This window comes from Homo sapiens, chromosome 12 (genome assembly GCF_000001405.40).
Source record: "Homo sapiens chromosome 12, GRCh38.p14 Primary Assembly".
Taxonomy (NCBI): domain Eukaryota; kingdom Metazoa; phylum Chordata; class Mammalia; order Primates; family Hominidae; genus Homo; species Homo sapiens.
In genome coordinates, this window is record NC_000012.12 from 64046786 (window position 1) to 64073715 (window position 26930).

General features: G+C 37.7%; 1 protein-coding gene across 4 annotated transcripts in view; it reads left to right on the plus strand.

Annotated features, from left to right (window-relative positions):
* The window catches only part of SRGAP1 (SLIT-ROBO Rho GTPase activating protein 1), a 317518-nt gene that overhangs the window by 202086 nt on the left and 88502 nt on the right, over window positions 1–26930 (plus strand). For all 4 annotated transcript variants that reach the window (NM_020762.4, NM_001346201.2, XM_024449096.2 and 1 more), the window contains exons 7-8: window positions 16132–16353; window positions 18333–18434. In NM_020762.4, coding sequence (NP_065813.1) covers window positions 16132–16353; window positions 18333–18434 — 324 coding nt within the window. The remainder of the gene's footprint in view (window positions 1–16131; window positions 16354–18332; window positions 18435–26930) is intronic.

Consider the following 26930-nt stretch of genomic DNA (forward strand, 5'->3'; position numbering starts at 1 on the left):
CAGGATTTTGAGAGTCATTACCATCATTGTCATGGATATTTATTGAGTGCCTACCATGTAACAGGCAGCATAATCTCATTGAATCATCACAACACTCTGACATAAATAGTGTTTTCTCCATTTTATAGACTGAAAAAAAAAACAAAACAAAACTGAGATTTAGCTAGGCTAGATAACTTGCCTAAGGTTATGCAGCCAATCAGGGGTAGGCTTCAAACTCATACATTTTTAACTTCCAGATCTAATTGACTCTGACCTAAATAAGTAACTGTTAAATATCCCAAGTGATTTTCCATTTTTAAAAAAGTTGGACTTTTGAAAGATCAGTCTTAAATTTAAAATGTGAACAATTCTCAAATAATATAACTTAAGATATTGGAAATAAATGATATGAAGTTGGTTTGTTGTATATTCAGCTGAAATTGGGTACTCTCTTAGTGAAAGTAATTTTTATGTTCCATGACTCACTTTTAAGGCAATTAGAGTGTGAATATGTATATTCTAAAATGGTTGCTTATTTTGTAGGAATCCAATTTGCATATATAGTAGTGATCCTAACAACCATTAAGCTTGACCCTTCCTGGTGAAAAAGAAACAGGTAGATTATTATGCAGAGGTATCTAGAATTCTTCATGCTTTGTGAGTTTATTTAGCGAAGTACATCTTATACTGAGCTATCTAATAATAATGAGAAGAGCTGTAATGCCTCCGGTGAGAAAAAGTCAAGACAACATTTTTAATGCACAGCATTTTGTATGTGAAATGACATGAAAGGCAGTAAATGTATCTTGATAAATTCAAAGCATTATAAAGAGTCAGAGAATTAAAGTTGAGATCTTTTTATATAAACCCCCAGTTTCCTTTTACCTTCCACTCATGTCAGTATCTGTCTTTTTTCTAACAAAGTTTCTATGATGAACCATTATAAATGGATCTATTGATACCACAGAAAAGTCATAAATTTTCCGTAGAAACTATTATAGAAGCAGTACATGTGTATTGTAAAAAACCAGAAAATACTATAAGCAAATATAAAGTGATCACATTTTTAATTTTAATTTTTATGACTATATAGTAGGTATATAAATTTATCAGGTACATGAGATATTTTGAAACAGGCATACAATGCATAATAATCACATCAGGGTAAATGCGGTATTCATCACCTCAAGCATTTATCATTTCTTTTTGTTACAGACATTCCAATTATATGTTTTTAGTTATTTTTAAGTGTACAACAAATTACTGTGTAGTAATTACTGTGTAGTAATTTATTGTACACTTAAATGTAGTCACCCTATTGTGCTGAAAAATACTAGCTCTTATTCGTTCTATCTAACTATATTTTTCTGCTTATTAACTATCCCCACTTCCCAATCACCCCCACTACCATTCTGTCTATCTCCATAAGTTTAATTGTTTTGATTTTTAGCTCTCACAAATGAGTGAGAAAATGTGAAGTTTGTCTTTCTGTGCCTGGCTTATTTTATTAATACTTAACATATTGTCCTCCAGTTCCACCCATGTTGTTGCAAATGACAGGATCTCGTTCTTTTTCATGGCCGAATAGAACTCCACTGTGTATATGTACCACATTTTCATTATCCATTTATCTATTGATGGGCACTTCAGTTGCTTCCAAATCTTGACTATTGTGAATAGTGCTGCAGTAAACATGGGAATGCAGATGTCTCTTTGTTGTAATGATTTTCTTTCTTTTGGGTGTATACCTAGCAGTAGGATTGCTAGATGATATGATAACTCTATTTTTAGTTTTTTGAGGTATTCCCATACTGTTCTCCATAGTGGCTGTACTAATTTACATTCCCACCAACAGTGTACACAAGTTCCCTTTCCTCCACATCCTTACCGGCTTTAGTTCTTTCCTGCCTTTTGGATAAAAGCCATTTTAACTGGGGTGAGATGATATCTCATTGTAGTTTTGATTTGCATCTCTCTGATGATCAGTGATGTTGAGTACCTTTTCATATACCTGTTTGCCATTTGTATGTCATCTTTTGAGATATCTCTATTTAGATCTTTTGCCTATTCTAAATTCAAATTTTAGATTTTTTCCTATTGAGTTGTTTGAGCTCCTTATATGCTCTGGTTATTTATCTCTTGTCAGATTGATAGCTTGCAAATATTTTCTCCCATTCTGTGGATTCTCTCTTCACTTTGTTGATTGTTTCTTTTGCTGCACAGAAGCTTTTTAACTTGATGTGTTTCCATTTGTTCATTTTTGCATTGTTTGCCTCTGCCTCTAGGGTGTTACTCAAGAAGTCTTTGCCCAGACCAATTGCCTGGAGAGTTTCTCCAATGTTTTCTTGTAGTAGTTGCATAGTTCAAAGTCTTAGATTTAAGTCTTGAATCCATTTTGATTTGATTTCTGTGTATAGTGAGAGATAGAGGTCTAGTTTCATTCTTCTGCATACGGGTATCCAACTTTCCCAGAACATTTATTGAAGAGACCTTTCCCCAGTGTATGTTTGTGTTAGTCCATTATCACACTGCTATAAAGAACTGCCCAAGACTGGGAAATTTATAAAGGAAAGAGGTTTAATTGACTCACAGTTCCACATGGCTGGGGATGCCTCAGGAAACTTACAATCATGGTGGAAGGGAAAGCAAACACGTCTTTCTTCACATGGCAGCACGAAAGAGATGTGCCAAGCAAGGAAAAGCCCCATATAAAACCATCAGATCTTGTGAGAACTCATTCAGTATCACAAGAATAGCATGAGGGTAATTGTCCCCATGATTCAATTACCTCCCACCTGGTCCTTCACATGACATGTGGGGATTATGGGAACTACAATTCAAGATGAGATTTCGGTGGGGACACAGCCAAACCATATCAATGTTCCTGGCACTTTTGTTGAAAACGAGTTCACTGTAGATGTATGGATTCATTTCTGGGTTCTCTATTCTGTTCCACTGGTCTATGTTTATGCCAGTACAGTTTTGGTTACTATAGCTTTTGTTACTATGGCTGTCTTGGTTACTATAGTTTTGTAGTATAATTGAAATTAGGTAGTGTGATTCCTCAAGTGTTTTTCTTTTTGCTCAGGATGGCTTTGGCTACTGGAGGTTTTTTGTGGTTCAGTATAAACTTTAGGATTATTTATTCTATTTCTGTAAAGAGTATTATTGGTATTTCATAGAGATTGCATTGAATCTGTAGACCGCTTTGGGAAGTCTGGACATTTTAACAATATTGATTCTCCCAATCCATGAACATGGAATATCTTTCCATTTTGTTGTATTTTCAGTTTCTTGCATCAGTGTTTTATAGTTTTTATTGTAGAGATCTTTCACTTCTTTGGTTAAGTTTATTCCTAGGTATCTTTTTATATTTGTAGCTATTATAAATGGGATTACTTTCTTGATTTCTTTTTCAGATTATGTGCTGTTGGCATATAGAAATGTTGATTTTGTATCCTGTAACTTTACTGAATTTGCTTATCTGTTCTAATAGTTTTTTAGTGGCATCATTAGCTTTTTCCAAATATCAGATCATATCACCTGTAAACAAGGATAATTTGACTTTTTCTTTCCCAATTTGTACGTTATTTCTTTCTCTTCTCTGATTCCACTATCTAGGACTTCCAGTGATCACATTCTTACCATCTAAGATCATCATTGTTAAAGCTAGACTTTCTCTATGTCCCTATATATACACATTTTTAAACCAGAAGGAGAGTATGAAATGATATTTTACAAAGAGCATTCTAACCTGCTTTTTAAAATCAATAATCTTTATCCTTCCATCTCAGTAGATTTTTGTCTTATCTAATACATACCACATTTCCATTTGTGACCCCAAGGAATGTTCCACAGCTGATGTGTCTAGGCAAGATCTGATTTAGGATTACACATTATGTCTGGATGATATGTCCCTTAAGTATTTTTTAATCCAGGCAAGTTCTTTTATTTATTTGTTTGTTTATTTATTTTGAGATGGAATCTTGCTCTGTTGCCCAGGCTGGAGTGCAGTGGTGCAATCTCAGCTCACTGCAACCTCCACCTCCCAGGTTCAAGCAGTTCTGCCTCATCCTCCCAAGTAGCTGGGATTACAGGTACGGACCACCATGCCCGGCTAATTGTTTTGTATTTTTAGTAGAGACGGGGTTTCACCATGTTGGCCAGGCTGGTTTCGAACTCCTGACCTCAGGTGATCTGCCTACCTCGGCCTCCCAAAGTGCTGGGATTACAGGCTTGAGCCACTGTGCCCAGCCTAATCCAGCAAAATTCTTTGTTGAAGAGACACGGACAGGTGTTCCTCAGAATGCCTCAGCTTCTGGATTTGTCTATTACCTCCTTATGTCATTTATCCTGTTTCTTTGTCCTGTATATTCTTGCAAGTTGAACTTTACATAAAGGCCTGATGGGTTCAAGTTAAGCACTTTGCAATAGAATACATCATTAAGTGTGTTGCTACATCTTATTTAGGCATACCACAACATCTATTTAACCCACCAACGGTGATGCTAAAATTGCTGTCTTTGGGTGATGTGACTTCGATTTCCTACATTTTATAGTTAAGTCTTCCCTCCTTACAACAGACTATGGATATTTTAAAACCTCTCAAATTTATATTTTATTACACTGGAAATCTACTAATTTGGAACTCAGCAACATCTGAGCTATAATTTACTTTTGTTCAGCAAAACTCTTTCTTACAGTAAAAATTAATAATGTAAACTAAAGGGGAATAACAATTTTTAAAATGTTTTTAAGCACTTCAGACTAATCAGTTTACATATGTGTCATTGACACTGTATTTAATGGAATCTCCTTTTGTTAACTACTACAGCTAAAACTTTTAATAATTCAACACTTTAATAGACAAGTTTGTCTTTTCTATATATTTAGAGGTGATCTAATGGTTTTAAAAATATTTAATAATTCTCAATTTTTATCTGTTTGAGATAACCTTTACCTATCAATATTAGTTTGAATTACTAAAGTGCATTCTCTCTTTCTCTCTCTGTCTCTCTCTCTTTTTCTCTGTATCTCTCTGAGAAATTGCTGCCAATGTAGAAAATCTCTAATCATTTATAAATAATGGTTTTTGGAGGTCTACTGAAATGTATTTTTAGTAAATCTTACATACTTAATTGTGCCTTGTTAGGATCAATGAATGAACATTATGATGAGTTCCATCACTGAACATGACTCCTTCATAAACTTAGTAGGTAAAAATTAATTTCTTGATCAAGTCCAAGTTAAAAATATTAGATATCAGAACTCTAACGTTTATTGATATTGATGGTAATACAATGAAGAAAATGGCTCAATTGTTAACCAAGTATCTATTCTTTTATTTCAGCTGAAAATATTTGAATGTAGTATACCAAACAAGGGTTGGACACTTGTGGGTACTCCAGATATTGAATTATGTCTATGGAGAAGGGAAGGAACTGTGACTGGGGAGGGGGAACTTGGAGAACTTCTGAAATATCAGTAACATTAAAAGGAACATAACCTGGGCACGGTGGCTCACACCTGTAATCCCAGCACTTCGGGAGGCTGAGGCAGGCAGATCACCTGAGGTCAGAAGTTCGAGACCAGCTGACCAACATGGTGAAACCCTGTCTCTACTAAAAATACAAAAACATTAGCCAGGCGTGGTGGTGGGTGCCTATAATCCCAGCTACTCAGGAGGCTGAGGCAGGAGAATCGCTTGAACCTGGGAGGTGGATGTTGCAGTGAGCCAAGATTGCGCCATTGTACTCCAGCCTAGGCGACAAGAAGAAAAGTCAGTCTCAAAAAAAAAAACAAAATAAACGTATATGTTTTGTACTTTTCTGTAAGTATGGCATATTTTATATTTAAAAAAGAAAAAGCATGGAATTAGTAAAATGATAGATATATGCCTTAAATATGTTTAATCTAAAGCTCACCAATATACTTGTACCTGCCAATCTTTTAATATTATGATTTATCTTTTTGTTCTTTGTTTTTACTATGCATTATATACTTTTAATGATTTATCTGTTGTACAGAGTTCAGAGTAATCTTTCTTTACACAAATCACTTTCGTTGTGTATCATTTATAATTTCTAGTTTTGAGGGTTTTTTCATGAAGAAAAAATATTCTGGACATGTACAACGTTTTCACAATCTTGCACAGTTGTTATACCTTTGCCTCACCTAATAGCAATTTTGTTTACTCCTGAGTCTTTCCAACAATTTTTTAGACTTATTTTATCAGTTTATTTCATAGGTAATTAAATTATAGTTATAAATATAAATGGCACAAATATTGTACAGTCTGTTCTTGGAGGCATACAGATGAATTGTTGGAGCAGAAATGTAGAGGAGTATTAGAGAGCACCTACTGGCTGTGTGTGTTCACATTGCCTTTGGCATTGGTCACTATGCTTGAGAGCAAGGGTGGATAAACATTTTCTGTAAGGGGCCAGATGGTAAATATTTTAGGGTTTGTGAGCCCATATTGTCTGTGTCACAGCTACTCAACTCTAGTGCAAAAGTAGCCATAGATAATAAGTAAGCAAACGGGTGTGGTTGTATTGCAGTCAGACTTTCTTTACCTTACCAAGCTGCGGGCTGGATTTGGCTCATAGGCTCTAGTTTGCGGATCCTGATTTATAAAATGAAGCAAGTGTTAGTTAACCTGGAGTATCACTTAAAACAGAAGACTTTTAAGAGTGCTTCTCCTCTGTCTCTGAAGAAAGTCCTAAATAAATTTTAATTTGTAAAATAACAATCTCTTAGCTTGGAATCAAGTGGGAAGTGGAATACACTGTTAATTTCACAACAAATAAGGACTTTTATTATGTCATGCTAAAGAATAAATATAAATTGTAAGAATAAATATATTGCAAATATTGGCCAAAGGAAGTTTAATTGGTTGGGAGAATAAAGGTATCATTGTAGAGGAAAATAGATTGTAGTGTTTGTAAATAATAGTTTAAATATCAGTGATAATTATTATCCCCAATATTAAGTGCAAAAGAGCCTATAACTTATTATCCTGTAAGAATTAGGATGTGTTACAACTAGAAGAAAAATCATAACAGGCAACAAATATTTGTAATTGAATGCTGAGAGTTCCAAAAGATTATGATTTGCTAAGAGAAAAGAATTAGAGTACAAGTCTTAATGCTAGGATCCTCTGATCTATAATCAGATTCAACACACTGAAAATATGGAATTCTTAAAGCAACTGGTTTTAAAATTGCATTACTGATAATGTAGCCTCTTCCAGTTCAGTTCCACACCTTCAAAATGTATTCAGAGAAACTCAGTCCTCAACAATAAAATTCTATCCGTGCTTTCTCCCAGAGCACCTGCCCAGTAATAATAAAGTATTTGTCATCCTTGCAGTACAGTTTCATGGTCTCCAGTTTCTCCCTATAAACATTTGCAGGTTGGTTGAAAGCGTGAAAGATAAATCTTTGTTATTATAATTATGGAATATTGCCAAGGAATAATCCCCTACTCCAGCCAGTTTTCTTCATAGAGATTATCTGTCACATGTGTTTTATTGGCCATTTATGCAGAATAAGATTGAAATTAGATTACATCATATATTGCCTGCCATCCTTTTTTATCTTTTCTGAATAATCAGCTACGTTAAAGCTTTTAGCCTTATCTTTTTTGTGTCTTGGGACATGTGTTTAATTAAAAAGCAACTTATTCAGAGTTCAGAGTTTTCTTAGTTTGACTTTTCCCCCATATAACGGTATTAAGATTTGTCCATGGAAACCTGTCCCATTGTAGTACTGTATTCCCCATTAGACATGAACTCCTATTAGGAAGATTATGGAGAGATCATGTTAAATGGGTTAGGATATTGTAGAGATAATGTAAACTGATTTAGGCATGGTTTTATCCCTTTGTGATAGAAAGGGTATTTAAAAACTGAAATGAGTTGGATGACTGAAGTAGTTGGCTTTTTTTGTTTTGTTTTGTTTTAAGTTTTTTTTTCTTTTATTATTATACTTTAAGTTTTAGGGTACATGTGCACATTGTGCAGGTTAGTTACATATGTATACATGTGCCATGCTGGTGCACTGCACCCACTAACTTGTCATCTAGCATTAGGTATATCTCCCAATGCTATCCCTCCCCCCTCCCCCCACCCCACCACAGTCCCCAGAGTGTGATATTCCCCTTCCTGTGTCCATGTGAGCTCATTGTTCAATTCCCAACTATGAGTGAGAATATGCGGTTGGAAGTTCTGGCCAGGGCAATTAGGCAGGAGAAGGAAATAAAGGGTATTCAATTAGGAAAAGAGGAAGTCAAATTGTCCCTGTTTGCAGACGACATGATTGTATATCTAGAAAACCCCAATGTCTCAGCCCAAAATCTCCTTAAGCTGATAAGCAACTTCAGCAAAGTCTCAGGATACAAAATCAATGTACAAAAATCACAAGCATTCTTATACACCAGCAACAGACAAACAGAGAGCCAAATCATGAGTGAACTCCCATTCACAATTGCTTCAAAGAGAATAAAATACCTAGGAATCCAACTTACAAGGGATGTGAAGGACCTCTTCAAGGAGAACTACAAACCACTGCTCAAGGAAATAAAAGAGGATACAAACAAATGGAAGAACATTCCATGCTCATGGGTAGGAAGAATCAGTATCGTGAAAATGGCCATACTGCCCAAGGTAATTTACAGATTCAATGCCATCCCCATAAAGCTACCAATGCCTTTCTTCACAGAATTGGAAAAAACTACTTTAAAGTTCATATGGAACCAAAAAAGAGCCCGCATCGCCAAGTCAATCCTAAGCCAAAAGAACAAAGCTGGAGGCATCACACTACCTGACTTCAAACTATACTACAAGGCTACAGTAACCAAAACAGCATGGTACTGGTACCAAAACAGAGATATAGATCAATGGAACAGAGTAGTTGGCTTTTAAAGTTCTTTTCAGTGGAGGTTCCAGGAGTCTTTGCTTAAAGGAAGCTGCACCAATCTGGTTTCCTCCTGCAGTATGGGCTGTTCTTTCTCTTTTCTCAGTCTCCAGTGTTCACTTACCCTTTTTGGCTGGACTTCTGAATGTTGGGAGTCACCTGAGGCATTATCTCTTGCTTCCATGGCTTAAGTACCATCTGATGGCTCCTAGATTTTTACCACCAGCGTTGATCATCTTCCTGGGCTCCAGATTTGTACATCAACTCACTACTGAGCATCCCTAACCAGATGTCTAACAGGCATCTTGAACATGTAAAATACTCAAAACACAACTATTTATATCCATTCGCCCTACTGTCATCATCCTCCACACACATAACAACATTCTTCTTAGTCATGTTTTACACCTCAGAAAATAATGCCACTTTCCGCTAAAAACCAGTTCTCTTGTTCCACACATATAAATTCATCAGCAAATCCTGTCATCTTTACCTCCTAAATGTCCCAAACCCTGCCACTTCTCACTAGCTGTACTTGCAGTTTCCTAAATTAAGCCTCTTCATTCTTTGACTGCACTATTGCAATAGCTTCCTAAGCTTACACTCATATGTTCCAAAAATCCATTCTCTTCCCAAGCAGCCAGAGTATTGAAAAACATAAATCACTTGAGACCAGCCTGGCCAACATAGCAAAACCCCGTCTCTAATAAAAATGCAAAAATTAGCTGGGCATGATACTAGGTGCCTGTAATCCCAACTAGTTGGGAGGATGAGGCAGGAGAATCACTTGAATCCAGGAGGTGGAGGTTGCAGTGAGCTGAGATCATGCCATTGCACTCCAGCCTGGACAACAGAATGAGACTCCACAAAAAAAAAAAAAAAAAAGAGAGAAAGAAAGAAAAACATAAATCAGATATATCAATTCCTATTTCCTATTCTCCAAAGACCTCCCATTGTCCTTAGAATAAAATCCAAACTATTCACCAAGACCCTGTATGAACTGATGCCTACCTGCATTTAGTGTCATCTCTTGCAACTTTTCCCTTAGTCACCATACATCAGGTACATTAGCTTTCTTTGTTCAGAACCACCAAGCTTTTTCTCGCCTGGGGCCTTTGCACTTTTTGTCTGGAACACTTTTCCAGAGCATTGCAGGACTGACTGCTTCTTTTCATTTATGTTGCACTTCAGCTGCCCTATATAAAAGGACAACACCCTTTCCCCTAACTCTCCCTATTCCTTTGACCCTTTATCTTATCTATAGCATTTACCATCTGGCCTGTATTTAATTGGGTTTGGTTTGCTCATTCTCTCTCCTCTCTCATTATTTGATTCAGGCTGGTTACAGAGATTTTAGCCTGGGAAAAATGAGTAGCAGCTCCTCTGAAGGAAATGATTGTCCATTGCTATATGGGTGGGTGATGTGTTAGGCAGCAAATAATCTATTTGGCCTACTCATTGGCTGAGGCACATGCAACTCACTCCTCCTATTTGCTACTTTGTACCCATCCCTATCACACAGATGTGCCATTTTGATCTTTTCATTGCTCAAGAGAAAACTCAAAACAACTTTTTCTAAATGCTTGGTTACAGTTCTTAAAACAACAAGAAGAGTTAAATTGTCAGCTAGCTCTCTGTGGACCTTCAGGAACCCAGATATGAAAACTCGTGTGTAAAAGTTGCCTGTAGAAGTTTAGACATCTGGTTCAGTCCTGCAAGATGCCTGTCTCTCACAAAATGTGTTTGTGGTATCTAGGGTGAAATTCTGTATAGTTAGGAAAATAGAGAAGGTCAAAGAGGTAGTTATGCAGAAGAAATCCACTTTCTTCATTTGACTACTATGTAAAAGCTCTGAACTTTTCTATTTCTGGTCCTTTATAATTCACTTTGCTTAGGTTGCACTATTTTGCAAGAAGGCTCAAAATAAGGAGTGGATAGAGTCTATACCCAATATCCATGGCTTTAGAATGACCAAAGCCAGGCTTCTTTAAACCCAGAGATAAGACCCAGGACATGAGATCACAGAAGTCTCTCAAACAGAGACCAGAGTATAGAAATGAAGGTAGAATAATTCTGCAGAAGAGAATTCTGCAGAGTATAGAAATGAAGGTAGAATAATTCTGCCGAAGAGAGTAATTCCTTTCCATTCTCACGACAACTGCTGAATTCTGGAGTCACATGGGAGCCTGGGGCTGCCCTCCAGTTACTCCAGTGCAACCCTGGTGAACGACTGTGGCTGCTACTGTTCTTGAAACATGAATGTCAGACTTGTTTCCCATACAGTTCCACTATGGTAACTCCTGTTTTAGGAGCAAACTTCTACCCCACTAGGGCTCATATCATGGAGTTATGCCAAAAAATAAAAGATATTCCTTCTGAACAGCTGTGATCCAGTTATACCTAACATTACACATTATACTCACCATGTTATTTCAGCCAACTCTCAGCATTTGTCACAGTCCTCCATACAGATGGTCCTCAACTTACACTGGTTCAACTTACAGTTTTTCAGCTTTACAATTGATTTATCTGGACGTAACCCCACTGCAAATAGAGGAGCATCTAGACTTTCAATGGCTCAACTTGCAACTTTTCGACTTTACAATAAGTTTATTGGGGCATTAAATGCATTTTTAATTTATAGTATTTTCCACTTAACAACAGGTTTATTGGGATGTAACCCATTGTAAATTGAGGAGCGTCTGTACTTGGATTTCATCTTCATTTTGATACTATTTGCAACCCTTTTGCCTAAGAAAATTAGCCTACTGTGATGATTTAGACTAATATCTATTGGAATCTGTCTTGACAGGTTTTCAGATATTTTAAAAATATACATATGCCCTTCTGTTTCCAACAGCCTTTTCTTCTCCAATTTTAATCCATAATTTTATGTATCTGTTCAGAATTTTTCATCCATCAGAACATTGCTTTGTTTTCATGAAATCTTGTATTGGTTTCTTATGTATTTTCATCACTAAATGCACTTGGGCTATAACTCAGCTCTTTGTGCAGAGGCTGGCTTTTCATATTGTCATTAATAATTCATGAGCTCCATAGAATTACTCTAAACCTTTTTAACCAAGTATCTTGAATCTTAACAGATCCAGTGTCATTTCAGTTTCTAGTTTAGAAAAAAAAAAAAGATTCAGTGACTAGCCTTGCTGTCTCAGGAGACCTTGAATAAGAATTTCCTTTTTTCTGTATCTTGTTTCTAGTTCAAGATGCCTGAAAAACCTAGAGTGTAGAAATGCTGCCTATCAGAAGTAACAAAATTAAGCCAATTAAGTGATCTTATAGACTGACAAGCACCATAGGGGTCAGAGAAGGAAATTTCCTATCAAAACTCTTCACAGAAGCCTCCTAAGGGTAGCACTCAAAGCTCAGAAGACACCTGGGGAGGCTCCTCTATCAGTTAGTAAGCCACATGCACGCTCCTCCCAGCCTAGGAGGAAGCCACGATGAAATTATCTCTTGTTGGGCCCAGACCTGCAGAATCCAACTGACTGCACTGGGTATGGAAACATGCACCGATGCTTTTGTAGTCTTCATATTTATTTCCCCAAAGAAGCTACACTTAAAATTTTGAGGCGTGAGCTAAGTCTCGGAATAATGAAAATTTAGTATGTATTTTTCAGAGCTCCAAGTCAATCTGGTGGTTGGGATTAGATTGCTTTCTCTTTTTTTTCTGCCTTTTCCTTCTCTCTGTCTTTCTCTTTTAAGTTGTTTAAGAGATTTGGGGGTTTTTGTGGGAGGTGGAGGCTTTTCTCCTGATTTCATTCCTCTTGATTTCAATTTTTTAAGTCCCGTTGGAATCAATACTCATAAAATAGAACAGCTTGTCTCATCTGCTGCATTATAATCCAGTAGAATCTATCTTCTTTCAGAATAGTGAGATGTTTTTAAACACTGGTACATCTAAAAAAAAAGGTCATTTCCTTTACAAATTTGTGTTTTCATTAACGCAAATTTCCTATCTTTCTTGAAAGATAGAATAATTTTTCAGGCCCTCTGATATGTATAAAACCGCTCCACACAACCATTATAGATTTTGAAAAGCAAGAGGAATACAAGAGGACTTTGTTCATCTGGGACTAGAATTTCTAAATTAACCAAAATGAATCATTCTCTATATTTGAGTGCAGCTGATTCCACTGGAAATGTATTAATGATGAGACTGATTGCTGCATTTCACAATTGTATTTTGCTTGTATTTGTAATTATGGTGTCACAGCTACTTTCTGTTTTTTTAAATCAAGTCATCTTTAATCAAGTCCTTTTTTCTGCTTGGGGAAATAGCACCCCCAAAAGACATGGTTGCAGGCCCATTTACTTGATGATTGTTTTAGGGCATTGCTTCTTAGACTTTTAATGTGCATATGAATCACCTGTGGATCCTTTTTAATCTTCAGATTCTGAAATAGGTCGGGGTGGAACTCAGGATCCTGCATTTCTTTTTTTTTCTTTTTCCTTCCTTCCATCCTTCCTTCCCTTTTTTCTTCCTTCCTTTCTTTCTTTTTTTCTTTTTTTTTTTTTTCCTTTGAGACAGGGGTCCCACTCTGCTGCCCAGGCTAGAGTGCAGTGGTACAATCTCAGCTTACTGCAGCCTCTACCTCCCGGGATCAAGTGATACCCCAATCTCAACCTCCTGAATAGCTAGGACCACAGCACCCACCCCTATACTCGGCTAATTTTTAAAATTTTTTGTAGAGACAGTGTCTGACTATGTTACTCAGGCTGGTCTTGAACCCCTGGGCTCAAGCAGTCCTCCCACCTTGGCCCCTTGAAGTGCTGGGATTACAGGCGTGAGCCACCGCGCCCAGCCAAGATCCAGCATTTCTAACAAGCCCCTGGTGATGCCATTGCTGCTAGTCCACAGACTAAATTTTAAATAGCAAGATTTTAGAATATCTTTACATAAAAATTTCAAATTTAATAATTCTGAAATTGGAGGGTAAAGGTTAGAATTAAATAGGTTAGTTGTAAGGACCAACCTATTTAATTTAATTCCAAGGGTGGAATTAAACAGGTTCTAAAGACAGGTCAGTGAAGACAGATCCAATGTTTCACATCCTGGTAGATACATCCTTTGTACAAAAGTTGCTTTCTTTGCGACTCCTCCACTATTTTAACAGCAAACCAACGGACAGCTTATGTTCAAATTCCTTGTGGATGGAGATAGTTTATTTACTATGTTCCAATCTTTATATGCCTAGAGCCTAGCATATTCCCTGGCACTTAATCCATGGCCAATTAGTGAGTTGAATTGAATCAAACTGAATTGATTGAACTTCACTGGAACAATATAGGGAAAGGACCTGGTTTTGTAACTTTAAAGTCACTTCTTTCCTCTTTAAGTGATTTATACTGCTTTTATGTACAAATTGAAAATGAACCTGTCAGTAATTGATTACTAATTTCCAGTATTATGCTTTTTTTCAAGTCATATTCTCTTAAAATGCAACATGAAAAAATACAAATGCAAATTAAAGATAATGAAGATTCAAGAATCTCAAAGCTGTTATATTCCTAGGAATACTAAATGAAATTCTATCTCCAATAAGCAGACTTTGGCAATCATTTATTATTTAAGAATTTTATTCTGGGGATAAGAGGGAAGGCATTCCTAGACTATTTTGGCAGATTCTAACCTGTTCTTCTCACTTCTAAAAGTTTATTCTTGATCTTCAATAAAAATATGCAAATTCAAAATATTGTAGTTAGTGTATTTGCAACCTACACAGATTTCAATAAATGATTGTATCAGTATCAGTATTGCACAAATAAAACTTGAATGCTATTTTTCATTCTTTTCTTTTGGTATTTGATTTTGCCTCTTTTATGTTTTAACAGCTTTATGGAGATACAATTCACATACTACACAGTTCACCCATTATAAATCTACAGCTGTCTTTCAGTATACTGAGAGTTGTATATCCATCACCACAATCAATTTTAGAATATTTTCATTATCCCACAAAGAAATCCTGCATCTCTCAGCCATCACCCCCAACTTCTTCCCTCTTCTTAGCCCTCATTAACCACAATCTACTTTTTGTCTCTATAGATTTATCTCTTCTGAACATTTCGTGTCAATAAAATCATATGTGGTCTTTTGTGACTTGCTTCTTTCACTTAGAATAATGTTTTCAAAGTTTCATCCATGTTATGGCATGTATCAGTTCTTCCTTCCTTTTTGTGGCTGAATAATATTTAATGATATGGCTATACCATATTTTATTTATTAGTTTGTAGACATTTAGATTGTTTTTACCTTTTAGCTATTATGCATAATACTGCTATAAACATTTGTGTGCACATTTTTAGGTGGAAATATGTTTTCATTTCTCTTATATATCTAGGAGCAGATTTGCTGAGTCATATGGTAACTCTATGTTTAACTTTTGAGAAACTACCAGATTGCTTTCCAAAGTGACTCTACCATTTTACATTCCCACCAGCAGTGTATGAGGGCTCCAATTTCTCCACATCCTCTCCAACACTTGCTATTGTCTGTCTTATTGATTGCAGCCATCCTAGTGGGTGTGAAGTGGTATCTCATTGTGGTTTTGACTTGCATTTCTCCGATTATCATTAGTATTTCCCAGTGATATTAAGCATCTCCTCATGTGCTTGTTGACCATTTGTATGTCGTCTTTGAAGACATGTCTATTCAGATTCATTGCCCATTTTAAAATTAGACTTTGTCTTTTTATTATTGAGTTGTAAGAGTTCTTTATATATTCTAGATATAAGTACCTAATAAGATACGTGATTTGCAAAAATATCTTCCCATTCTGTGGGTTCTCTTTTCACTCTCTTGATAGTGTCTATTTTTTTTTTTCTTTTTTTCACATGGAGTCTTGCTCTGTAGCCCAAGCTGGAGTGCAGTGGCACTATCTTGGCTCACTGCAGCCTTCAACTCCCAGGTTCAGGCAATTCTTGTGGCTCAGCCTCCTGAGTAGCTGAGACTATAGGTGCGTGCCACCATGCCTGGCTAATTTTTTGTATTTTAGTAGAGACGGGGGGTCTTCAATTTTGATGAATCTAATTTATTTTTTCATCTGTTGCTTGTACTTTTGATGTCATATCCAAGAAACCAGTGCCTAATCCAATGTCATGAAAGCTTACCCCCATGTTTCCTTCTGAGAGTTTTATAGCTGTAGGTCTCACATTTTTGTCTTTGATCAATTTTGCATTCATTTTTGTATGTGGTGTTCTTTTACTTTTTAAGTGCTGTGATCTTGGCTACCATGCAAGTCTGAACAGAGCCCTAAGAACATATCTGTCTGCGGAGTACAACCTTGAAACCTCCAGACATGAGGGCTTAGACATTATTGAGAATGCAGTTGATAATTTAGAGCCCAGGAGCGATAAGCAGAGATTCATGGAGATGTACCCTGCTGCGTTCTGTCCACCAATGAAGTTTGAGTTTCAGTCTCACATGGGTGATGAGGTCAGTAATTGATCATTTTTAAAATAATGAATTGTCTCTTCACTTATATTTCTCCTCACTTGCTATAATCTAACAGTTGTAATAATTCCCAGTTGTTTTCTCTCTCCTGTCCTTGCAGAGGCTCTTAATATAATGCTAAGATTAGTCGCTACCGCCTTTTAAAGCAAACGTCAAACACTCAAATACCCACAGAGGCCAAACAGATAAAAGGTGCAGATTTGCCTTGCACTAAGCTGTCCCAGAATAGAAAGTTTTTGTTCCACCTCAAGACATTTTAATTTAATGAAAATGAAGGCATTTTGCTGGTCTGATAGAATCTGTCTGATGGCTTCTGATAATCCTGATTTAAAGATTCTCATAAAGAAAAGTAATTGTATGTGGCAGGAAAATGGAAGAAGGAAAAAAAAGTACAAAACTTTTTTTAAAATTCAAGTTGGCTCCAAAGCTATAAAATGAGCCTTAGAAATTATGACTGTTTTAGATCCTTTATATAAATTCAGCTTTCTATGTTATTTTACCAAAAAAAATGCATTTAAACTGATTATGAGTTACAGTTGTTTATATTATTGTCTACAGACAGGAGAAAACAAAAAAAGCCAACTTAGGGAGCATGCTATATAGCACTTGTTGTCTCAGCTGTGCAAAACAAAACTCATAGATAAAAACTCAGTCTTAACTTATTATGGTGACAGTCTGTTTTTCCAAATGTAATTATAAGATCATGAAAAGATTTCTTTAATGCTATGTTTTTTTCTGAAACACCAAGTATTAAGACATGTAAAATATATACATGTTTTTATATATATTTTATATATATATACACATATAATGTACCTGCTGTATTTCTAATTGGATTTTATGTGTGTTTGATAGAAATGGTATTTAAGCCAAACACACATGGATTTTGACAAGCAAGATGAGTAGCTTATCCCATCTTTCCAAAACCAAATGGTTGCTGTTTTAATTTTTCAGCTGTGGATATGTTAAGCATGGCATGTTAACATATCACAGACAAATGACATCAGTTGTATTTTAATGGTTTAATTGTTTTAATAAAGTAAGTTGGTTGCCCTTTTTTTATGGCCAGTTCTGCTAAGGAGCAGTGGTAATCTCTCTAATGTTTTGGAAACTCTATAAAAGGAACCCCCATGAGCCAAGAGCATTTCTAAAACAAGGCAGATAAGAAGAAATTGTTTGTTTCTGGTGCAGTTTTAATAATGCTCTAATTTTGAACTTATCCATAATTGAGATCATGGCCAAATATCTTCTATCAAAACCTAAGATAAGTGACTTCTTGAAGTTCATGGTGAATCACGTGACTTGGCTGATATTGGTTAGGGAAGCCATATTTGAAAGATGCTAAAGTAGTCATTCACATTTTCTGAGTTTTTACTGTGTGCCAAGCACTGTTCTAAGTTCCTTGTGTACGTTGTCTCATTTCATTCCCACAGCAGCCCTGTGATATAAGAACTCTTATCCTCATTCTACAGATTAGGAAACTGAGGTTTTGTAACTTACCACAGTCACCTGGCTGGTAGGGGACAGAGCTGGCGTTCGAGTACAACTGACGGACTCGAGAGCTCAGACCCTAACCAGTAAGCCCTGCTGCCTTCTTTACTTATGTCCGTACAATCCACTTGAATCATCTTCTGCCTCTGCAAAAGAGTCATTAAGAATTCCACGAGTGAGATTTCAGCATCGGAGCTCCATCGCAGGAACCGCCCCATTCTTACCACAGTCCTTCCTGCAGCTGCCATCTTCCCAGTTGTAGCCAGGCCAAGCAGCTGCATTCTGCTATTGCAGCTTATGTAACAGCTCCATATTTACAAGTGAAGTTTTGATGTGCCTATTAAAAGTAAATATGTAATTGGAACCTTGAGAGGATTGGTGTGATTCATGCATCATTTAAATAACAGAGCCGTGCTTCTGGAGGTGGGTTGATGGTGCCCTGTTGTAACTGGTTTCTCATTCTCCATCAGGTGTGCCAGGTCAGTGCCCAGCAGCCAGTCCAGGCAGAGCTCATGCTCAGGTACCAACAGTTGCAGTCCCGCCTTGCCACGCTCAAAATCGAGAATGAAGAGGTGAGCATGCGTTCGTCCTGCCACACCAGTAATCTGAATTCAAATATAACTGGAAGACATTCTCACATGACTTGGGCATATTTAATATTCAAGATTCAACCTCTTCATCACGTATTTCCTGCTCTCAGGGTTCCTGTAGTACTCTTTGTAGGGGATAAATGCAAAGATTCTGTATTCTGCCATAGATTAATATTTTACTAGACACTCAACTGCATATACATGTAAACACAATTTTTTTTACCTTAAATTGTAATTTATACTGAAAATAGTTCCCGTGGGTTATCAAATTCAACATATATATCCAAAAATATACAATCTTTTGTACAGTGGAACTTTTGACTAACATGTTAACTTATTTTAAAAAATATTTTGTAGAGATGGGGCCTTGCTATGTTGCCCAGACTGGACTCAAACTGCCGGCTTCAAGCAGTCCTCCTGCCTTGGCCTCCCAAAGTGCTGGGATTACAGGCATGAGCCATTATGGTGCCTGGCCCACAGTGTGCCATGTTAATTTAATCCTAACTTTTAAAATTCACTTCTTTTTTTCCTTATGCTTTCCTATATTCTCTAAATTTTTGGTACTGAACATGGCATTACTGATATAATTAGAACAAAATCATATTTTCAAATGGTACTTGAATGAGGATAGAAAATGTTTATTTGCCAGCATTACTGTATTTAAATGAATAGAATATAAAATATGATTTATCAATATATGTTGAGCTAGGAAGCAATTATACAATTCAGCTGCCTATTTCTGAAATTAACTTACTTGAATTCACGTTCTCCTAAAATAAAGATACAAACCACAAATGTTTCTTGCATTAGTCAAGGCTCCCAATTGTAATTTACAGGAACACAAGTTAAAAAGTTAACTATTGGTCAGTGTTTGCAGTATCCTCAGACATCACTGGATTTGTGTTCAAATGATGTTATCAGGACTCTCTCTTTATCACTTTGAAGTGATTTCTTCATGTGTGTTGGTAGTGTTTTCAGGATAGACGCAGAACTATGTGGTCCCTTTTAAAGCTTTCCATCCCACTCCATCCTAGCATTCTTGTCTCTGAAGTAGGACTGACTCTTCACTGACCTGGCTGAAGTCATGCATACTTCTGGACAAACCATTACATCTAGGAAATGAGATTCTGTCATTGGCCAACCTGGAGAATGTGCAGCTCATAGAACTCTTTGATTGAGAATTCCAACAGAAATAGTGTATTTCTAGAGACAGACAATTCCCAAAAGAAAGGACTGTGGGACAGAAGCAAAAAAATAACTTACAGTGATAAAGTGAATTATCAAAATTCACTTTCATACCCTGTTTTGTTTTAATCCCACCAAGATGTTTGAGCTCTGTGTATTTGTTTCTGTTAAGAAAGAATGATGTGTTTTTAGACCAGTATAATTTGGTCAAAACCCATTGTAATTTTTGGCTTCTATTATTCCGAGTAGAAACAAACTAGCCCTTATTCAAATGTGTATATTTAAGATGCAACCAATGTCATCTCTATGTAGGGTCCCACAGATGAGCCTTTCCAAAGGAAAGCTATTGCTCACCTTGAGGCAGCGTTTGAGAGCCTAGGTTTTGTCTAGGCTTCACAAAATACCTAATGCAGTTTACTGGATCCTATTCTATCTACAGTTTGTATGTCTAGTGACTTCCCTTGTTTTTCCCTGCATATCCTCCTGCTGTTTTATTTGGATAACATTCTCTAAACTCAAGGAAAATAGTGTATTATACACAAAGTCAAAACTGGCAGCTCACAGATCTGTTTTGTTTGGCTCCCAAAGTTTTGACCTGTTTTTTTTTAAAAGAAAAAAAAAAGGTCTGGCCACTCTGGCCCTGCACTGCCTCATGAATTGAAGAGCTGGGGCATTTGAATCCTACTTTGCCAGTCATTCAACTCCCAGTTCTCTTACACTGGACTGTTTGTGTTACCTGTCTGGCCTCCGCAGGCCTTTGAGTTTGTGATCCTTAATGTATGCCTTTTTAGGCATAATGTGGAGAAGCACAGTGTCCTTATAAACTTAGAGAGTCAGGCAGTGCTTTGTGAGGGTTAATTTTTAAAAATTATCTAAAGAACTTGGGAAGCTGAGGGAGGATCTGTTGAGCCTAGGAGTTCGAGACTGCACTGAGGTGAGATGGTGCCACTGCACTTTAGCCTGGGTGACAGAGCAGGACCCTGTCTCTTAAAAATATTAATTAATTAAAATAAATTTTTAAAAACCTACTGACTGCAAAATAAAACTTAAAAAGTAATTTTTAAACATTAGCTGAAAAAGCAAATGAATTGGATTATCCTAATGTTTCTTGTGAGCATGACTACTGGTTTATGATTTGTTGAACACCGAAGAAAATTTACTGTAGTGGAGTGGGATTCCCAAAGAAAGTAAGATTTCAATTAGATTTTCGATAATCAGTAGATACCATAAAAATAGAGGGAAGAAAAGATACTTCAATATATGTCAAGGTGCTTTGGGAGAATAGAACAGTTTGGTTATCACCCCAGTTCTCTTTGGGGATGAACTGATGGAGAAGGTGAGGTCATTCAACAAGAAGCTTTGAGAGCCAAGTTAAGGAGTTTTGTTACTGTGGTTCAGTACAATAAATACTGAAGGTCCCCTGGGGCTTGAGGCTGCATGGAGCTATGGTTGTGCCACTGCACTCTAGCCTGGGTAATGGAATGGGACCCTGTCTCCCAAAAAAAAAAAAAGTTGAGAGAGAATTTCACCCAAGTTTTAAAAAGCATGGACAGTACAGCTAAGTAGAACATGAGCCTTTTCACCAAATCTTAGAATACTTTAAATAGTCACTTTGGGAGATCAAGGCGGGCAGATTGCCTGAGCTCAAGAGTTCGAGACCAGCCTGGGCAACGTGGTGAAACCCCGTCTCTACTAAAATATGAAAAATTAGCTGGGCATGGCAGCATGTGCCTGTAGTCCCAGCTACTCAGGAGGCTGAGACAGGAGAATCACTTGAACCCGGGAGATTGCAGTGAACCGAGATCGTGCCGCTGCACTCCAGCCTGGGCAACAGAGCAAAACTCTGTCTCAAAAAAAAAAAAAAAAAAAAAAAAGTAGTAGGCACCACCTGCAACAGACCCTATCTGGCCCATGAAAAAAAAATTTTTTTTGAGACAGGGTCTCACTCTGCCACCCAGGCTGGGGTGCAGAGGCACAATCACAGCTCATTGCACCTTGACCTCACAGGCTCAGGTGATCCTCCCACCTCAGCCCCCTGAGTAGCTGGGACTACAAGTGTTAACCACCGTGCCCGGCTGATTTTTGTATTTTTCATAGAGACAGGGTTTCCCCATGTTGCCCAGGCTGGTCTCTAACTCCTGGGTTCAAGCGATCCGCCTGCCTTGGCCTCCCAAGATGCTGGGATTACAGGCGTGAGCCACCACTCCTGGCCTGAAAACTTTTGTTTGCTCTACAGTGCTTGGGTTTTGAAAGTTATTTGCTGTCCTTTAAACACTGTAAGTTTTCAAAAAAATATTAATATGCAGGGTGGGCACAGTGGCTCACGCCTATAATCCCAGCACTTTGGGAGGCCAAGGCGGGCAGATCTCTTGAGGTCAGGAGTTCGAGATCAGCCTGGCCAGCATGGCAAAACGCCGTCTCTACTAAAAATATAAAAATTAGCCAGGCATGATGGCGCATGCCTGTAGTCCCAGTTACTCAGGAGGCTGAGGCAGGAGAATCACTTGAACCCAGGAGGCGGAGGTTGCAGTGAGCCGAGATCATGCCACTGCACTCCAGCCTGGGCAACAGTGCAAGACTCTGTCTCAAAAAAAAAAAAATGTGTGTATATATATACATATTATAAATATATATTATTTATCAATATCCAGCCTCTTTAAAAATTAGAAGAACTGATCACACTAGACCTGTGTTTCTACAGGACGGTAACTGACTTCCCTTAGACACAGAATGTGTGCTTCCTGTTTGCCATGTTCTCCACTCAGCCCACTCACCTCATTTTCATGGCTTGCCTGGCCCTTAAAGATATTTGAGTTTGTATCACCTGCCTTAAAACAAAGAGAAGAGAGCAGTACACACTTGTGAAATGGCCTCAGTATACTTACAAGTAGTAAAAGTTAAAAGGTTTGAGAGGGCTTAATTAAATACGTGGTTGGTGAAGATTCATAAGAGATTGTGACATTTATTGTCACTTCCCAACTTTACATTTACCTGTTAAACTTTTTAAAATGAGGTTTGAGTTTTATTTTATGCTGCAAACTTGCACCCTTGGTACCTCAGTCTCACGATTCCAACTTCCAGCCGATCTGTCAGTGAATATTCATTAGTGCCCACTGTGTGTTGTGCATATGGAATTAGAGCAGGGCCTGCTGCCACACAGCCTTGTTCCCATTTATTGTTTTATTTTGATTACTTAACTGTTTATTAAAACTTTGAAGTGAAACATTAATAAACATTACTTTTGTTTTTGTTTTGTTTGAGACAGGGTCCCGCTCTGTCATCCAGGCTGGAGTGCAGTGGCACAATCACTGCAGCCTCAACCTCCCGGGCTCAGGTGGTCCTCCTGCCTCAGCCTCCCAAATAGCTACTTTTTTATTGTTTGTAGAGACAGTGTCTCTACAAATAACTATTTTGAATTATTCTTTAAATTTTCAATTATTGTTCATGAATTTTGTTCAAAAAACAAAATAATATGCCCAGCTACTTTTTTATTATTTGTAGAGACAGGGTCTCCCTGTGTTCCCCAGGCCGGTTGAACTCCTGGGCTCAAGCAATCTTCCCACCTTGGCCTCCCAGAGTGCTGGGATTACAGGTGAGAGCCACAGCCGGCTCACATTACTCATTTCAGCCACCGGTCCAGCATTGCTCTTAAAGGCAACTTTTCAAAAGCAAACTAAATGATCATTTATACCTTTCTCATTATAAACATTTATTGCACTGTCTTGTCTGCTTTATCAAAGTTTGCATTTAACCTTGTTGTGGGGATTTCTGCTTAGGGGTCATTACTGTTGCTTCTTTCTTTCCAAACTAGCCTCTGGAGTAACTCACCATTTATTACAGTTCTCATTTCTTCAAGTTTCTCATCCCTCCCTTTAGCTATACATAGTCAAAGAAAGAGAAAAGGAACTACTTTGAGGAGAGCAACTACGCCTTTTGTATTTTTTTAGGACAGCGTTGGCTTTTAATAGCGTGCCCCATTTTCAGACCATTTGTCCCAATATTTGGTCCAGAAAATAAAGATTTCATCAGCATGTCACTGCTGTTCTATGAGTAGAACCTTCTCACATGTAAAACAACTAGTCTCTCTCAAATTATAGTAGATTTACCACCCTGAGGGGAATGTACAATGAGAGAAGCCCATAATTTCTCAATCAATTTGCGACAGTGTTGAATGAACAGATAGCTCCACGTAAATTTTCCTAGCACCATTTAAAGTCTTTCACCAGCAGCTTGCCAAGGAGTATTTCACAGACTGTTCTAAAAATACATTACTTACACAAGATATTTTCAACAATAATGAGCAAGATTTTAGGCAAACATTTGAGACAATTTGCATGGCATGGGAAATTGAGGGAACTAAGAGATATTTCAGTTATACTTCCTTCCTAGGGTAGAAAAATCACATTTTCCCCCCAAATTTCTTATAGTACCAGTGACCTCAGCAGAATCCCAGGTCATGTAAGTCAATGATCAAACTCTCATGGGGGATTCTCAAGTTCTTTTGAGACTTGATATAAGATGTGAAGCCTGATAACCACTTAAGTATAATTGCTGTTTTGGATCTTCTCTGTGGCCTTTAACTTCATTTTTACTGATTTAAGTATCTTTGACTTGCCTGCAACCTTCTACTGATGAGCTAACAGGAAAATCCTAAGTAAAAGATAACTGCCATTTGTTCCTTAAATGACATCTTCTTGGCCAAAATTAAAAATAGGATCAACCGTCTTTCACCGCAAACACACATTTATATTTTTTGTTTCAAGCAAGCTTTAACTCACTGAAGGGAGGGCCTTGATCCAAAAGAATACCAAGAGAAATGAAGAGAATTTCTAGGATGGGTATAAAAATGAGTCCTGGGATAGAGCACCCCAAAGAAAATGGCAGAGCTCAGGATGGCTCTCAGTGGAGAAACCACTCGTTTTCTCTGATGCACTGAGCATTTTGGCATCCATGATTTGAAAGGATAACTTCAGCGTCCACTGTTCATTCAGTGAACTTTTTCTGATAATTTGCTGTGTTTCAGGCACCATGCTAGTCCCTGGAGCTATAAAGATTATTAAGTTATCACTGACTTCAAGTTGCTTCCACCGTAGGTGGAAATATAAACCTCTAAACAGTGAGGCATGTGCTTGTGAGAAATTGATTTGAGATCATGCTCCTTAGACCACACTCAGTGTCAGGTCCACCCTCATGGGTCATTAAATCAGAGTCAGGGGTGGGCCGCAGGAAAACAGGTTTTCTGAGACACAGCTGAAGGCAGAGACTTTGTTCTGAGAGTCCTGAGCAACAATGATGTTTTCTTCCTTGGATTAAGTTATATCATTGCTGAAAATGAATTTTGTTCAAAAACAAGAGAGCCTAGCATTTGTAAACATTACCTTAAATGCAGGTACATAAATTATTAGTGTGAATTCTTCTGGAATGGTGATGTGACATTCCCTACCCTCACCCCCCCCCAAAAAAAAAAGTCGTGGGGCAGCAAACATTGTTTTTTTCAAATCTGGTAATGCCTACCCAACACAGACAGGGGATAGGGTTATTAGCATTGCACCCATGTTAGGGTACAAGGAGCAAGAGAAGGCCATGGCAGGATGCTCTGCCTGTGCTCTCGCCTTCTGTGGCCTGTGCTAGCTGTGAGTTTCTGTACCCTTGGCTAATTAATTACGGAGTTGACCCAATCTCTCTCTGTGTGTGTGTGTGTGTGTGTGTGTGTGTGTGTGTGTGTGGGCGGCGGGGGGGGGCTCTTTCTGCTAATTTTTAGTACATCTGAAATGACACAGTGCTGTAATTGAAATACATTCAAGGTCAGCAATGACAAGTAGGAAGTAGTTCAGTGGGGAGGCAAAGGAAGGGATGAGGGTCACCTTCACAGATGAGTGATGAGTCTTAAAGGATGAATAGGACTGCATCAGGTGCAAGGTACAAGGCACAGTGCCATAATATACATGGAGTGTGTTATGGTATGATTTGTGTCCGCCCTGAAAATTCATATGTTAAATTCTTAGCTTCCAGTGACTAAGAATGTGATCTTATTTGAAGATAGGGCTTCACAGAAGTAATCAAATTAAAGTGAGGTCAATATGACTGGTGTCCTTATAATAAAAAGGGGAGGGGAAATTTGGATACAGAGACACAGGTGGAGGGAAGATGATATGAAGAGACATAGGGAGAAGATGGCCATCTGCAAGCCAAAGAGAGAGGCCTGGAACAGATCCTTCCCTCCCATCCCTCAGAAAGAACCAACCCTGCAAACCAACACCTCGATCTCAGACATCTAGCCTCCCACACTGTGAGACAATACATTTCTGTTGTTTAAGCCACTCAGTACCTGGTTTGCCTTAGCAGGCTAACACAGTGCATTCAGGGAATGAGAACACTGAAATGGCTGTCTTGTTCTCCCAGTGATGGTAATGTCCTGGTAACACAAAGGCAACAAAGCCAGTCCACAAAAGTCCACAGAAGTCACCTCTCCCTCCTCATTTGTTTTGACCCACAGCTCAGAGTTCAAGCTACCTGGGCAGCTCCTTCAGTGCAGTGCATTCTTCTGGTTTCTCACGAATCCTTTGTCAAATCTTTGGCCTCTCCTTCCACCAAAACCCAACTGTGTTTTCCTGCTGCTGATGGGGAGGTACTTCAAGGCTCATATTAGCTGTTTCATATTTGCCTCATTATGTTCCCCCCTGAGACTTATTAATATGGCTGGTGTATGTCAGAAGCTCGTGTTACTGTCTGTTGCGAGCATCCCATGGGATGATATGCAGTCCCAGCATTGAGTCTGGTGGCTTCTGTCACATCCTTTATTCCTGATACTTCCAAATTTAACCATGACACCATTGCTTCTGAGAAGGAATTTGAAAAAAAGAAAAATGGTGTTGTTGATTTTGATTCTTCGTATATGTATTCCATGTGTGCATTTGATAATGCTGCTGTCTCTGGTTTCCCATATGTAAGAACATGGTTCTAGTGAAACATTCTTATGTAACCATCTGTCTCATAAACTCAGTGAACACACTTTAATTGCAAAATTCCAACAGATTTACAGATTACAGTTGTCCCTTGGCATCCAAGGGGGATTGGTTCCAGCACCTCCCACAGATACCAAAACCCGAAGATGCTCAAGTCCCTTATATAAATGAGGTGGTATCTGCACATAACCTACACACATTTTCCTATACTTTAAATCATCTCTAGATTACTTATAATATCTAAAACAATGTAAATGCTATGTAAATAGTTATACTGGGTTTTGTTATTTTTTATTGTTGTATTATTATTTTTCTTTTTTTTTTCCAA